Source organism: Homo sapiens, chromosome 13 (genome assembly GCF_000001405.40).
Source record: "Homo sapiens chromosome 13, GRCh38.p14 Primary Assembly".
Taxonomy (NCBI): domain Eukaryota; kingdom Metazoa; phylum Chordata; class Mammalia; order Primates; family Hominidae; genus Homo; species Homo sapiens.
In genome coordinates, this window is record NC_000013.11 from 42576426 (window position 1) to 42592367 (window position 15942).

General features: G+C 39.9%; 1 protein-coding gene across 6 annotated transcripts in view, besides 1 other annotated feature; it reads left to right on the top strand.

The window, feature by feature from the left end:
• Positions 1-15942, top strand: part of TNFSF11 (TNF superfamily member 11) — a 45278-nt gene that overhangs the window by 13690 nt on the left and 15646 nt on the right. For 5 of the 6 annotated variants that reach the window (NM_033012.4, XM_047430707.1, NM_003701.4 and 2 more), the window contains one exon: positions 4701-4868. In NM_033012.4, coding sequence (NP_143026.1) covers positions 4701-4868 — 168 coding nt within the window. Of the gene's footprint in view, positions 1-3281; positions 4157-4700; positions 4869-15942 lie in introns of those variants that run through there. The other variant, XM_017020802.2, reaches the window with a different exon arrangement.
• Positions 4512-5711: an enhancer, noted in NCBI's record as "BRD4-independent group 4 enhancer chr13:43155073-43156272 (GRCh37/hg19 assembly coordinates)". NCBI's record gives its function as "activates an origin of replication core promoter dependent on BRD2, P300/CBP, MED14 and CDK7 cofactors, and independent of BRD4, by STARR-seq in HCT116 cells {active_cell/tissue: HCT116}" and the evidence as "EXISTENCE:reporter gene assay evidence [ECO:0000049][PMID:35650434]".

Consider the following 15942-nt stretch of genomic DNA (forward strand, 5'->3'; position numbering starts at 1 on the left):
TGGATGATAGTGAAACATTCAGAACCCCTTTTCAAAGTAAACGTGTGAGTTAGTAAGTCTAGCCAGAAAATATACCTTTGAAGAAGTTAATGTCATCAGACTTCTGGGTACGGTTTTCTTAAATACCATGAAAATTCGGTTCCTTTGACTTGTGCAAAATAATTTAGCTATTATTCTGAACCCAATTTTGTATTGCATTTTAAAAAGGCTATCTCCTTCAGTAAAGAAAAAATATTAGGAACAATGTGTTCATATGAATATACCACTAGATCGGGATGCATTTTACTGGATATTGTGTCTACAATTGTTACCCAAAGGAGTCCTAATCATTTTGAGATACATTCTGAAATATTTACAGATAAAACTGCTTTGGTGTCTGGAATTTGTTTCAAAATAATTTCTGGTTGCTTACAGATGAAAAAAGATTTGCCATACATTGGTAATAGCTGAAGCGCTGATGCGTGCCTAGGGGTTCACTCTGTAATTCTTTCCCCTTTTATGTGTGTTAGAGATCTTCTTTCAAAGTCTTAGCTAAGAGAATAGTCTCCATTTGACTTGCCGCTGATTTAACATTTTCACTTATATCGGCTCTTTTGGATTGGAACTTGGTACCAAATAAATCAGTAGTTTTTTGATTCCCACTAAAGTTGTGAATCAACTATCTGAGGTTTCTAAATGCATTTGAATGAGAACAAACTATCTAGTAACATGTTTGTAGTTTACAGTTAAAAATGACGAATTAGTTTTATTGTTTTTGTTTAAAGGTGGAGAAAAGAAGGTATGCAAGTCCTCAAGGAAAAGCAGTTTGAGTTTTTAAATGCATTTAAAAGAATGCCCAGAATAGTGTAAAAATTACGGTGACGGTTAAAAAGTTTTGTTTTCTTAAATGTTTGAATAGATAAAATTGAATCAGCCTCCTAAATGTTTGCAGATTGCATGTGCCTAGATGTAAAAAATACATATCTACTAGATCCGGTGTAGCTTGGCTTTTCCCCCACCACCCTGCCAAAGAGAAAATAGTGTGTGGCTTCTGCTATATATTTACCACATAGTATTCATACTTTGGTTTACAAAGAAAAAAAATAAAAACCCTTTCAAAAAGTTGCTCTGTGTGTGTGTGTGCATGTGTATGTGTCTTTAACATCCATATAACCATATTCAAAGCTTAGGGTTTAGCTATAAAGATAAACTTTTCAGAAAACTGAAGATGTTTTGCCCTTTTAACTTCTTCCCTCGATCCCCCAATATGCACAAACCAACCTCCCTGGTTGTTTGTTACCCAGGACAGCAGTCACTACTGAAAATCTGATGTAGAGGTGTGCACTGCCTGTTTGAAAACACAGATAACGAAGTAGCACAAACGTCAAGCATCCTGCCTCATTTAACCCTACAAATGATTAAGTTTCAAGGAAGTTAAAAAAAATGAGACAGTGTATTTCGTAGGCACATTATCTGACAAATGCATTTTAACAGTCCATTTTAAGTCAGATATTCAAGATTTACTTAATGTTTTCAGACGTGTCTAAGTACAATGAATTCATTGGTTACTCAGTTTACTGTGACTTTTGGTTGAATTTCTGTGTTCCTCAATGAAGTGTAAGTTCCATGAAGACAGGGACTGCTTGCTTTGCACACCACCTTATTCATAGCATCTAGCCCAGTGCCTGGCATGTCTAATTTACTGCAAAGTCTTTTCTAATGATTTGCAACACTACAGATATGCCCATTTCTGATTGTAATATGCAAATTATCAGATTAGTGGCTAAAATAGTATCATTTTTCAATCATGCAATCCTCCAACCAGACTAATGTGTGCTAGTAGGTAGGTTGTTGGGTAGGCGATACATTCGTTCAGTCAGTTCGTGGGCATTTGCTGAGGGTCCAGCATCAGTCTGGCTCCCTCCCTGCTCTGCAGTTCCTTCAGCTTAGAGGCCCTCATTTACCTGTGTGTGTGGCTGGCCTTGCACCCTGAACCTCTCCTCCTCCGTTTTCTCCTAGTCTCCATTTTCAGGAAAGGAGAGCTGCAAGGGCATTGGAATGAGAAAGACATGTGGTTGTAGGTTAAAAATAAATTTCTAATGTGTGATCCTTGAGTAAACAAAATAAATGAGTATATTAAAAGCAATTATTCCATGCATTCTTGATTTCTTTTGGGAAAAAACAGTGGATGGGGTTTTATACATATTTTAGCTATAATGCTGCCTTCCAAAACAGTGGTTCTCAACTGCACATTGAAAGTATTTGGGAAGAGGTTCAATGATTGGACACTTCCCTTAGGGATGTTGATGAAATTGGCCAGTGAGGGGTGGGGTAGGAATGAGATGGGATCTGGGTGTGGGCATTTTTTTAAGAGAAAGGGGACAAAATCTTTGCATTGTACTTATTTGCATCAAATCAGTAACCATTATTAACTGTTTCAGTATCTTTGTACTAATTGATGTTACTTGTGAAACAATTTTAAAATTGGTGTCAGGGAACTTTGGAATCGTTTCAATAGCAGAAAATCTATATTTTAAAGCATGACTTCTCAAACTTTAATGTGTATAAGAATCACCTGGGATCTAGTTAAAATGCATATTCTCAGGCAGTATGCCAAAGTAAAGCCTGAAATTCTACATTTCTAGCAAGCCCTCAGGGAGCCCACGATGCTACTCATTGGACTACCCTGAGTATCAAGAATATAGGGTTCGGGTGCAGTGGCTCATGCCTGTAATCCCAGCACTTTGGGAGGCCAAGGAGGGAGGATTGCTTAAGCCCAAGAGTTCAAGACAAGCCTGGGCAACACAGCGAGACCCCATCTCTACCAAGAAAAAAAAAGGAAGAAATTAGCCAATTAGCCAAGCATGGTGGCCTGCACCTGTAGTCCCAGCTACATGGAAGGCTAAGGAAGGAGGATTGCTTGAGCCCAGGGATTTCAAGGCTGAAGTGAGCTATGATTATGCCACTGCACTCCAGCCTGGGTGGGGGTGACAAAGCAAGACCCTGTCTTCAAAAAAAAAAAAAAAAGGAAAAGAAAAAGAGAAAGAAAAATAATAAAGGGGACTGCTGCTTCTCTTAGACAGCTCTTAGCTTGTCAGCAGGACTCCAGCTTAACCTAGGGTCCCCAGGCATTTCCCCACTAAGGCCACATTATTCCTTTGGCTCAGCAGTTTTCTGGTGGTGCGTCAGTTCAGGCCTTTGCATGATTCTTCTTTCCTGAGGTCTAAACCCAGTGACCCTTCATATCAGTTGCCTGGACTTTTCTGGTCTTGTGGGATACACACCGGCATAAGTAAGCCCTTTTTTTTTTTTTTTTTTTTTTTTGCAAAGTGTCTGATTGAAAACTTTCCTTGTATAAAAATTCACATATTATGACTTGTATTAATTATTCTAAAGAATATAGGAAAAATACAGATTGTACACAGTTTTGCTTCACGGTGGTATCTCTTCCATGATGATTATAGGTAGTCCTTATATGTGCAAGACTGGAATAATAAAATTTGTATTAGTGAGTGTACATTTGTTAAAAGGCTGTCATTTCATTTTGAGAATCTCAGATATGGATAGGCTCTTTTTAGTTTATTTCTAATGGTTGGTTAATAAACTAACACATCATTCTGATTAATTTTTAAAAGAGAGAAAGAGACTTGTCATTAATTTGACTGAGCTTTGTAATCTCACGTAGCTTTTCTTTTTCGCTTAGTTTGTACATGCTAATAAGAAAATGCAGGTGAAGTACCTTGAATATTTAACAAACAAAGAGGACAAGTTAAATTCTCATTATTAAAACAGATGATAGCTAATTATTGTTACCCTTTACTTCACAGTTGAAACCACCACAAAGGCTTGGAAGGAGCAGGCAGACAATTTTAAAGAGTAGTGATTAAAGATATTCTAATGCTGGACACCTATTCTTAACAGGCAATCAGCTAATTACTCAATGGGTATATTTTGGGTGGGACAATTCCTTACATTACAGGAATCTTAGCATCCCTCCAGCACACGTCTGTAATATCTGTTCATGCAGCCTCCCCACCCTAACGTGATGACACCAAATATCACCTGCATCCATTCCCAAACACCCGCTGACAGGTATACCATTCCAGCTTGAGAAACACTGATGAGAGGGTCAACAAAAAAGACAGATGACACGTCTGACTTCAAGTTTTGTTTGGAGGTAAAAAAGTGGATTTTTCTCTCCCTTCTTTGGCTGATTAAGGAAAAAAGGCCAGGCCAACATGGTGGTTAAAGATGATGTTGATTTCGCCTGTTTTATATAGGTTTCATGCTCTGAATTTCAAAGTGGGCCTCATAATCCCATCTAGCATGTTGCATATAGTTGATTTAAAGACAAAAAGCTTCCTCTGCCTTCAGTGACCACATGTGATTTCCTTGGTGCCCCTCCCCTCTATGAACACTTTCATGTTGTTAGACAAGTTTGACAATTTCCCCCATGAATCACGCACATACACTTCTGTCATTGTTAAAAGCCCATCGCAGGACTAACTGTGCCTTGTCCTGTGGATGATAGTCAGTTACTCGTTCAAATGAATTAGAAGTCAACGTTTTCACCATCTTGAGGTTCATTGTATTAACTATTCATTGTTGGGGACATAAAGACTCTTGCGAGTATGAATTTTTTGTTCTTAAGTCACACTGTATTAAATAGCAGGATGACTAGTGATAAGCACTCTAACGTCCTTACTGTTTCTCCTCCTCAGATGGATCCTAATAGAATATCAGAAGATGGCACTCACTGCATTTATAGAATTTTGAGACTCCATGAAAATGCAGATTTTCAAGACACAACTCTGGAGAGTCAAGATACAAAATTAATACCTGATTCATGTAGGAGAATTAAACAGGCCTTTCAAGGAGCTGTGCAAAAGGTAAGTCCACATCGAGGCTGATAAGTCAAGGGCCCTTGCTGACTCTACCAATACTGAAAATTAAAACTGGCTAAGTGCTGTTGACTCTGCTCTTTTTATTCTAATAATTTGTAAAAGAGCTACAGGGAATGCTTTAAAGAGATTAGCAGAATTATTTTGAAGTTGGTAGTGATTGATTATGGCAATCAGGGACGTTCATGCAAATATTCTTTTCTTTCTTTTCTTTTTTCTTTTAAAGAGGAGGGATTTAAATTCACACTTAAATTCACACCTTAAGACTAAGGTGGCTGTGGCCTGTCTGTGAGTCAGTATGCTAGTTTGAATTCCCTGACCTAAAAACCATCCGCTCAGTTCACAGGACTTTCTGGTAGCTGTTTCCTTTCTGTTTGGCTTCGTAATGGCAGGGCCCCTTATTCCACATCTGTTGATCCAGGGCTCTGATGAGAAGCAGTTGTAACTCTTGGTCCTTTGCTGTCATCTGTGGTGAAGTAGGCAGAGCAGGAAACAATGTGAGATGGAGATTCTGTGTCCGTGTTCTCATTTTCTGGGAGAGCTGAGTGACAAGAGAAGAGTTAGGGACAGAGAAGACCAATGACTTCTCTTACACCGACAGCCCCAGTTGGGAAACACTGTAATAACTGCCAGTTTTACTTTCCTGGACAAAGCCACTTGAGAATTCTGCAGCCCAAGAATTATTTTACTCACTGACTCCACCAAAACCCGGGTAGAACACAAACAGTGACCCCAGTGCAAAACCTGTGTGTACGTTATATACCTGCATGCATGCATCCACTTCTACATCCCAGCCTCTGTGTTGCAACTCCCTGGGTCTCTGGTCATTCCAGAGTAACTCTTGAAGTTCTCAAAGCCCTTACCTCTAAATTTAATTCTAATGTAGTTTATTTTTTAAAAATCCACATATAGTAATATAATTATTTAAAAAGAGGACATGTGTCAGAGGTAGAGGTAGGAAGATGTAGCTGTTTTGTAAAGCCAGCTAACAAAGGTGAACGTCTGTAATACCATCAGAGGTAGAGGAAGGAAGATGTAGCTGTTTTATAAAGCCAGCTAATGAAGGTAAACGTCTGTAACACCCTGATAGTTGAGATTTGCTGTATTTTATCGAATCTAAGTTACCAATTTTCAGCCTACTTTGTTATTTCATGCATCACTAAGAAAGAAGAAACTGTTGATTAAAAAAATTAAACATGATCATCATAGGTTCTAGAGGTTCTAGTTGTATCTTAATTCCAGAGATATCAAAACGTTAAAAAGTTGTGCATTATGGAATGCATGAAGTACCTATTAGTTTAATGTGTCTATAAGAAAACACATTGCTTATGAAAATTACTTTTTCATTATCATTAGTGTGTAGGTGTTTGGCTTCACGCAGAATAGATGTATATGTTTAAATTCAGTGATCCTTAATGTTACAGTGTAATTTTTGAGCAACAGCAACAGCAATTCTGTTAATCTATTCATTTTTATTGTTCTGTTTTATATTTCATTTTCATTCGTTTGCTTATTGTCCCACTTGTGAAGCTTATCTCTTAAATACTGAGTAATCTGTCTTTAAACAACCTATTCACATGCACTAGGGGCAATCTGCTAGTTCAAAATGGCATTTCATATTAAGGTAATTCTGGTTGGGCAAAAGATTGTGCCCTAATGTTCTGTTTAGATTGACTCATGTTGTAACTCCTCAAAATGATGAGATAAACTTTTTATTTCATTGGTGTGCTGGTTCTTAAAAGTTACCCTTTGAGTTCCTTATGGAAGAATAAGTATGGAAAATCAGCCAAGTTAATTCTGAAAATAAATAATATTACGAACAAGGGCAGGCACGGTGGCTCACACTTGTAATCCCAGCACTTTGGGAGGCCGAGGTGGGAGGATCACGTGAGTCCAGGAGTTTGAGAACATGCTGATCAACATAGTGAGACCTTCATCTCTACAAAAAGTAAAAAAAATTAGCTGGGCATGGCAACCTGTGCTGTAGTTCCAACTGCTCAGGAGACTGAGGTGGGAGGACTGCTTGGGCCTGGGAGGTGGACGCTGCAGTGAGCTGCGGTTGCACCAGTGCACTCCAGCCTGGCAGCCTGGGTGACATAGCAAGACCCTGCTAAAAAAAAAAAAAAAAAAAAAGAAAGGAAGAAAGGAAGGAAGGAAAAAGATTATTAACATTATTTATGAGACTGCAAGAGTGGTTCAATACCAACGGGTTAAAGGAAAAAAATATATTATCATCTTATAGATCCTGAAAAGTGATTGACAAAATTTTGCACTATTTCTGATGTTTAAAATCCATTAGAAAACAGAACTGGATGGATTCTTGATGTTATTACGAATGTAATAACTTTTTATGTTTTTACATAAATGTAAAATTTTAAATAACATTTTACATTTAGTTTTAACTAAAAGTTACCTAATGATTAAACATAAGAGCATGTTTCTTAAAGTCAGGAACATGACCAAGATGCCCACTGTCCCTACGTTATTTAGCGTTGTTCTGAAGGTGCCAGCTAATGTAATTACACAAGAGAATGAAATAAGAAAATATATATAGAGAAAAGAGGGCAGAATTTGCATGTGATATAATTATATACTTAGGAAAATTCAAAAGAAGCTGAAATGCTACAAGCAGGATAAAATAAATCAGTTTGTAAAAATTAATAAGTAATAATCACTAGCTGTCCTTATTTCAAATAACTAGAAAACATGAGTGAAAGATTTCACTCATAATTTTTAAATGCTCTAAAAATAAACATAACAAGAAATGTACAAGGCTTATAGGAATAAAACTAGAAACCTCTACAGAGGCATTTAAAATACAATTGGATAATGTAAAGACATAACTATGCACAGTCATAATTTTTGAGGTATAACTTGGGCCAAGGACAGCAGACAAATCCATGGAAGAGAACAAGCGGCTTACTGTGTGTCTCTCTGTGAGTGAATGTATGTGTGTATATAATTTAATATAATACAACATTACTTTAAATAAGTGAACATATTCTGAATTCTTAAAAAGCATATTGTTCATCCTTTTTTAAAAGTTATAGTAATTTCTCTTGTCCTAAGTAAAAATAAATCCCAGATTGAGAGAGTACTTGGTAGCCAATTGTTGCTCACTGGCAGTAGTGTCCCTTAACACTTAATGTGGCTTCACTGAACTTTTCTGCCACCTCCTGCCTCATCAGAACATTATCCCACTTCGTTTGCGATTTCTAAGTGACTCCTTAGGTAGTATGGAAAAGCAATTTGTATGTAAAGGTGTTAGTGAGCAATAATGGCAGAATTTTCACTATTTTAGGATCCTTTTGGAGACATGATGCCTCATTCCAAATGAGTAACACTAATAATGAGCGATTCACTACTTGGCAAACCATAAGGAGAAAATTGGTGGTCAGGCAAGAATAATCAACTGCGCTTATTAAGGGCACGTAGTCTTAATTATACTGATAGGTTATTATGACTCACAGGATGAGTAGAACTTTATTTCATCAATTTCACATTTGCTTTTGTTTTGTTATAGGATCTTAGCCTTTTTGCATAGGTAATAATATCAGACACAAGTAATCCTTTTTAAAGAATTATAAATTAAAGCTGTTATACCAATGTGTGTTTGGAGGTAGAAGATGCCATTTCTTCCCCTTAGACAGGATCTTTAGGAAAGAGACAAGTCTTATTTATACCTTATCATTAGAATCAATCAGTGTTCATTAAGTGCACGTAATGTGCTAGGCACCTTGCCATGTCTTTCCCTATGCCCAAGGATTTACCCTTCTCTTACTCTATTCAGATAATTGTTTGCCAAATGTGTTATCCTTTGATGAGGATTATCGGTTAATGTGACATTCTACACATCTTGCCAAAATAATCAGATTTCTCATTTCTCTTGCCAATGCTAAAAATAGGATGGATGCATTAGGCATTCTTAAGTAAGTTTGTACCTTAGTTTTATTTCTAATGTAGATATTGAGTGAACCCTTAAAACAAAATTACATGTGTGGCTGCAATCATTATTGGGAGATCAACCCCTCCAGTGGTAACAGATACCAGACATAAGCACAATATCACATTATATGTGTGCGAAAAGTGGTGTTTACCCAACATGTCTTTGGTCAGACATGTAATGCTGTTTTTTTCCCCATTTTTGTTTGTGGCTGGGTTTTCTTGGCTTCCCCCACCCCCTTTAGCACAGAACTCTGAAAGCCTCTAAGTGATCCAACCCTACCAACCACAATTTATAAAGTCTATCATAACAGTCTATGACAATAAAGAAAACACTAGTACAAATATGGTGTCTGATTTATAAAGTGATTCTTGTTTCCAGTTTTGGCAGCCTCCCTGCTTCTGCCAGCCGGGGGGTGAGGAAGGAGTGAACTCAGATCCAAACGAGGACTCCCAAAATGGCAGAGAGGACACTCAGCCCATAGACCCCCTGGCCAGACTGGGTGGAAAGCCATCTGTTTATGCACTTACTATACATTCTGAGCACTTGAGCTGTGACTGCACTTGACTTTAGTGTGCTGGCTTGTTAATTTCACATTGGGTACCTGTTTGCAGATACCTTCCTGAAACTTACTTGCAAAGGCATTTGAAAGAATAATGTGCAGGAGAAAGGTCAATAAACAAATTGCACAAATCACATTCTTCTCCAAAATGGGATGTTCAGTGCATTAAAGATGATCCCCTGGGATGTGGGAAAGAAGCATAGGGACTTTCTGTATATGTATTTTTTAATATTAGCTTTTAAAAGCTGTGCTTTAGTAAATATTTTGGAATGTACAAATATACGAGAGTGATTTTATTTAATATTTAAATAAATACATATGTACATTTCAGAGCATGAAAAATTTTTTCCCTGATGGAGCTGCACAGTCAGCCATTTTTGAAGATCATGGAGTGAAGCTGCAAGCTCCATCAGGACAAGGGCCACAGCCATTTCGCGCACATCTGAATATATCACACTTAGTTTATTCTCAGGAATGAATGGAGAAAAGCATGAACAAATGATCAATGACTTATTGAACTCTGTAAACTAATATTTTACATCAACGAACTCATAAAGCCATTCAGAATGTTACAAGCCTTGTTCTTATTTATACGATGCTGTCTTACCAGTCCTACAATTGATAATTAGGAATATTATGGCCTGAGGCAGTAATGCTTCAGTACAATAATAACACAGGTTTATTTTTGTTAGAAGTTACCCCCAGCTGGCCCTCTCACATCAGTCACATTTTCATCAGGCTTCTTTGTTCTGCATAACCTGACTGCTATGTAGAGGTGGGCTTATAATGTGAACTAAAAACATGATTCTGGCTCCATATATGAGTTAAATTTTATAAAACTCTCTAACTTCCCTCCAAAATATGAAAAGCCAATGGTATTGTAATGACTGCTGATAAGTTATCTTGTTGTCATATCCTCAACAAACCATTCCCTGGAGTATAAGCCTTTGAGTCTCTAAAGACTTAACTGGAGAACAGGAAGTAAGACCAGGGAGCCATAATTATTAAACAATTCATTCTTACCTGAAATTCTTTTTTATTCCCTGGGAATCAGGTACCTATTTGGCCTCATCTTCAGAATTCATAATGTAGAATTCAGAATTCACAATATCCTCTGATATTAAGATTAATATACCCAAAGATTTGTAGCACTTTGATCCTCAATGAAGTATTTGCTGTTATTTGGTATAGTCTGAGCTGGGTAACAAACAGACCCATCCATTCAGTGAACTAACTAAGAAACTTTTTCCCTCTCACATAACAATCCAGACGTGAGTCATCCAGGACCAGTAGGGATGCTCCTCTGTCCTCAGCATGAACCTTCCATCTCTGTTTCTAAGTTGGCTTCTCCATTTGCTGTTATTTCTAGATAGGGGAAGGGTAAAAGAAAACTGAAGACAGTACCTGGAAGTGGAGACATCACTTCCAGTAGCATCATATCGGCTGGAAGTTACTCATAAACCACATCTTGCTGCAAGGGAGACTGGACAAGGTAGTCTCTAGCTGAGCAGCCATTTGTCCACAAAGCTTGAGGAAGGGAGTTGCCTATAACTAATAGGCAAAAAGGAGTGGAAGGAGATGAGGGGACAATGAGCAGTCTCTGACATTCACTAAACCCCATTTAGGTAGGAAGGAGGACTCACCATATATAAGCAAGAGTTAACTCTGAGAACACATAAGTCTATTAAAAATTTTAATGGTCAAGATTGTATTTTCAAAAGGTCAAAATACTTTGGGATTATTTAGATTGCAAGAGAGTGAGAGAAATTTGAAAGTAGATTCAACAGCATTCATCTTTTTGAGGAAGTTTCAAAGGTCTGTTTAGAGATTGCATCTGTGATTGTGGAATAAACCTTGATTGTCACCTGCACCGCTTTTGCTAGGTTTTGTAGATTAAAAAGAGCATTAATTAAAAACTAGAAAGTTCACCAGATTAAGTGATTGTGTTTTCTACATATGGGAAACAGATCCCCTTGGATTGCAATCTCCATTATTATAAGGAGCTCATTCCTATTTTTGAACTAATGTAAATAAGAAATCAATGAAATTTAAATAGATTGTAACTGCTTGTGAAACTGTAATCATTGAAGTTGTTATATGCCACTATTTCTCATTTGCCTATTAGTTAAAAAAAGGAGAGGAGGGATTAAACCCCATTCATTGCCTCTTTCCCTTTGTATACAAGAGTATGTGTCCGAAGAAAGTTTCTCATAAACCCACAAGGGTACTTGGTTTTTGGAGCACTCATGTTCCCAAGTCACGATGTTAGTCATGTAGTGGTTTTCCAATAGGATTTCATCTCTGTTTGCCATAATAGTTTTGGAAACTGCAATTCAACCCCAATCACATTTAGCGTTTATAAAAGCTGTCTTTATGGGAAAGCTGAAGTAAGACCCACAGAGTTTTCCTACAAAACCAAGGCCATCTATTGGCTTTAGCTCAACAATAAGTTATTGGCTTGTACTCAATTTCAGGGGAGACCCAGGGAAGAAGGTAGGAAGCAGGAGGGTTTGCAAGAGGAAAATAACCGGTGAGTTATGTCAGAGGTGGGCTTTTCTTTGTGTTACAAGTACCCCAGGATGGAAGAAAAGATATTCTGCATGACATCTTTAAAGAAACAGAGAGCTGGAAGGACATGCTTGAAAGAGGAGCCTTCATTATGTGGCCTGGGATCTTGGGCTAACCTTCCAGAAGTGGATGAAACTGAGGGTCCTTGGTTGGAGAGCATGACAGCAAGGGATAGATTGGATTGTTCTACCAGCAGCGGCAGGAGAGGTACAGCCTGTGTAATTGAAGAGCGGGATGTGCCTTAGAGCAGTGTTTCCAAACCTCCTGGATCTTAAGACTCAGTTGGGGCCCTTGTTTTAAAAAGAGAAGAGAAAAGTCCTCCAGATCTATCAGTGGGGACTCTGATTTGGCAGTTCAGGGGTGGACTCTGTGATTTCTTCAAAGCATCCTAGGAAGAGGTGAGAGCCACTGGTGGACAGGGAAGCCATGGTGAATGAAGTGACTATATTTGAGAAGGAGTGTGAAGCCTGTGTGGTATGAAAGAGGTGGGTCCCGGAAATTGTCAAGAGCTGTCTGTTTCTGAGATGACCAGACAACAAATGCTTGCTCAAACTTTTGGAAGTTCAGGGTGTTGGGGAGTTCCATTCTCACTTAGCTTCTGCATCACTAGGCTGCTACTCCTGTCCTCAGTCTTTGCCCTTCAAGAACACTAGGTAGCGGCGGCGGTGGTGGTGGTGGTACCAGTAAAAATAATCATCATAATGATAAACCCTAAGGCTCATATTCATCAAAAAGTTTGAAAGCACTCAGAACTCTTCTCTTCAGTGCCTGTGGCTGCTTCTCATTTGATCTAGTTTTTCATGGTGAATGACAATACCATTATCTCCACCACCCCAAACTGGAAGTCAGAAGATGGTCTTATCCTTTTATTCACCCACTCTTCACCTCTCCCCCATCCTGTGAATTCTACCGCCTTACAAAACCTTCAAGTATTGTCTCTACTCTGCTCACTGTGTGGTCACATGAACAGAGGTCATCATCCTCTCTTGCCTGCATCCTTGCATCTGGCCACCCCCTCCTGGCCTCACTGCCACTGGCCCATCCTTCCCATAGCTGAGGGACTTCGAAAATGCACATCTGAACAGGTCATTTCTTTTCCTGCTTAAAGCATCCTTCAGTAGATCGCTGTGGTTGTCAGGATGAAGTCTGAGCTGCTGAACATGTAACAAAAAGTCCTCTGTATTCTGGAAAGCCTCGTTCCAGCCCCTGCCTCTTCAGGCTTGTTACCTTGAATGCTCCATGTCATCGCCTCCATCGCAACTTGTACTCCACGGCCTCACCACAGTATGGTGCTGAACTCTCCCGACCTGGCCATACCCTTTCGCCTCTCTGCCTCTCTGCAGTAATCAGCAAGTGCAGAGAGGGCAAAGGGCATGTCTGTCCTGCGAACAGTGTCCTCAGAAACCCACAGGACTCCTGACTCCTAGCCTCCATCGGTAAACTTTGTTGAATGGATGAATGGATGAATGGATGAATGAATGATGAGTCTTTGTGCATAGTCCTTTGTATGCCACTCCATGCCCTTCTTTGTGTAGTCGGTTTTCTAATTGTCTTTTAAAATCCAACTCAGGCATTACTTCCTGGAGGAGGAGCCCACAGATGCCCGCCCACCCACCTGTGGGGGTAGGTGCCCCTCCTGGGCCCACACGGGGCTTCTTGTAACAGCAGTAACCACACGGACCTGGGGTGAACTGGCTCACTTGAATGTGAGCTTCCCAAGGACAGGGTCTGTGGGATGTTTCCTTTCTACATTTCCAGCCCCAGTGGCAAGCACATAGTTGGTGCTCAGTGAAAGTTTAAAGAACAAGTTTAATGAATATGTGAGTGACCTGTGCCCTATGTGTGCACACTTGGTGTGCTCAGGTGGCGAGTTGTTTAATATTGCCAGAAGCTAGCCAGCCATGTGATCAATCCATAGGATTCTTAAGGGGCTGGAGGTCACTCGCAAGCTCAGTGTTTTCCTGCTTCTTTGAGAGGAGAGCTCTTTTCCTCTTTGGAGCGTGAACACGTTAGGGACCTTGGGGTTGGGGGTGCTCCTTCACTGGTAGCCTTGGCCCTTTTCTTCCTGGCCTCATGGATCTAAAGCAGCTGGCCTGGTATCTCTGACCCCCTTTGCGTCTCATTCTTAGGGAGAAGTCTGTGAGAGCAAAGTCTTTTCCAGAAGAGATGAGGATTTGTCAATGTAGAAAGCACTGCCAATGGAAGGTGGCATTATTTTTCAAGTGGCAGAGGAAAACAGAGACATGGTAAATAGCACAATTAGCCCAAGATGCCACACTGCAGTTACTCTGCCAAACTTTTAGATGACACTTTTTAAACCAGTAGTATAGTATAAGACATTTGAAAATCGGGCTCTTTATGAAGACTAACATTGCTGTCATAAGACTACTTTATGAAAACCCAAGGGGACCTTTATCTGTAGCAGAAGCTTTCTCATTTAAACCATGAAGGTTAAACAATAAAAACTAATTTTCTATTCCCAGCATACCCATCGCACTCCCAGGAAAAGCATCAGTCTGCTTTATGAAAACAAGGACATGCTATTCTTTAGCTCTTTGGTAGGTAGAGGACATGAACTGTTTGCAAAAACGAGTCTCTTCCAATTAGCAGACTTCTTTTGGAAGAAATGATCCACCAGTGACTGTATTTGGGGTTTGGGGAGGAGGCCAACTCACATCTTGGTAAAGTTTTTCACTGAGAATTTTCACTGATGGGCATGGGATGGTGGCCGCTGATTCAGTAGGAGCTGGAGCAATTAGGAGGCTGAGTGCAGTGGTAGTGGTGGTGCGGAGTGTGTAGAATTCATGTTGACAAGAGTTTGGCTTTGGGAGAATTTGATTAGTCAGTACTTTTATATTAAAAATAAAGAATTATAGGGATCAGAATGTTAAGTTACAAATTTAAGGTGAGGATGGCTTTTACCTTCGGGATGAGTGGGGTCTATACCCTACCTACCTTCGCTCCTCCTATCTGCCTGCTGGGCCACTGGACCCCTTGCCCACCTCATGATTTTTCCCCTCTCCTCTGGGGAGGGTGAGGACCTGCCCTCTCACCTCCCCCAGTGCTCCTGTCCTCTCCCTTCCTGGTGTCTTATAGGGCTCTGCTCTACGGAACCTAGGCTGAGAAGGGCAATCCACCATGATCTTTTATAACATGTATTCAGGCAACAGAGAACTCAATGAATCCTGCTCTTAAAGTTCTTTGCTTTGGGTGTTTTTGCACTATGGGCTCTTCATAAGGAACCAGGGGTCACCAGCTCCATCCAGGTGCATATATGTGTTCCCCCACATCCTGTGGATTGCAAGGTCAGTGTGAGCTTTAGGGGAGGGAGGAAAGCGAGAGGCTGGGGCAGCGATACTAAAGCCTATCTCATTAGCTATTGCACAACACCCAGTGGCCACTCTTTCTGTGCCTTGTTAGCCAAGAATGCCGTGGAAATAAGAGCGTTGCAATTAAGGATGAGCTATTGATGAAACACTGGCTAAGGCAGCTTTCCAAGGGAGCAGTGTGTGCAAAAGTCTGCATGTACAGGAGGGCAGAGTTCTTGCAGGTGGAACTAAGAGTAATTTCATGAGGCTGGAACCTATGGCATCCCAGAGCCTCCTTCCAGGTGATGAGGTTTGGGAGTACAGGGGAAGAATATTAGGGGATTTCGGAGTGGTAACCAGACTAAGTGAAAAACTAATGTTTTTCTCTGTACTCTCATAACCTGTCTGACACCAAATATGTGGCGTTTGCCCTCACACAAAGCAGTTCTCCAACTCTTCAGGCACTAATTGGATGTTCTGCAATTCAATTATGATACTAACTATTGGGAGGTAACACAGCCCCAACAGGTTAAAGGCTCAGCCCCACAAGACTGTCCCACTTCAGATGCCATTCACAAGTGCTAGGTTGTTGCCTGTATTTCTGACCAACCAGCTACAAATCGGGGGTTCCCATGACCTCCTACTCAGGTTCGGTAATATTCTTGAATGGCTCACAGAACT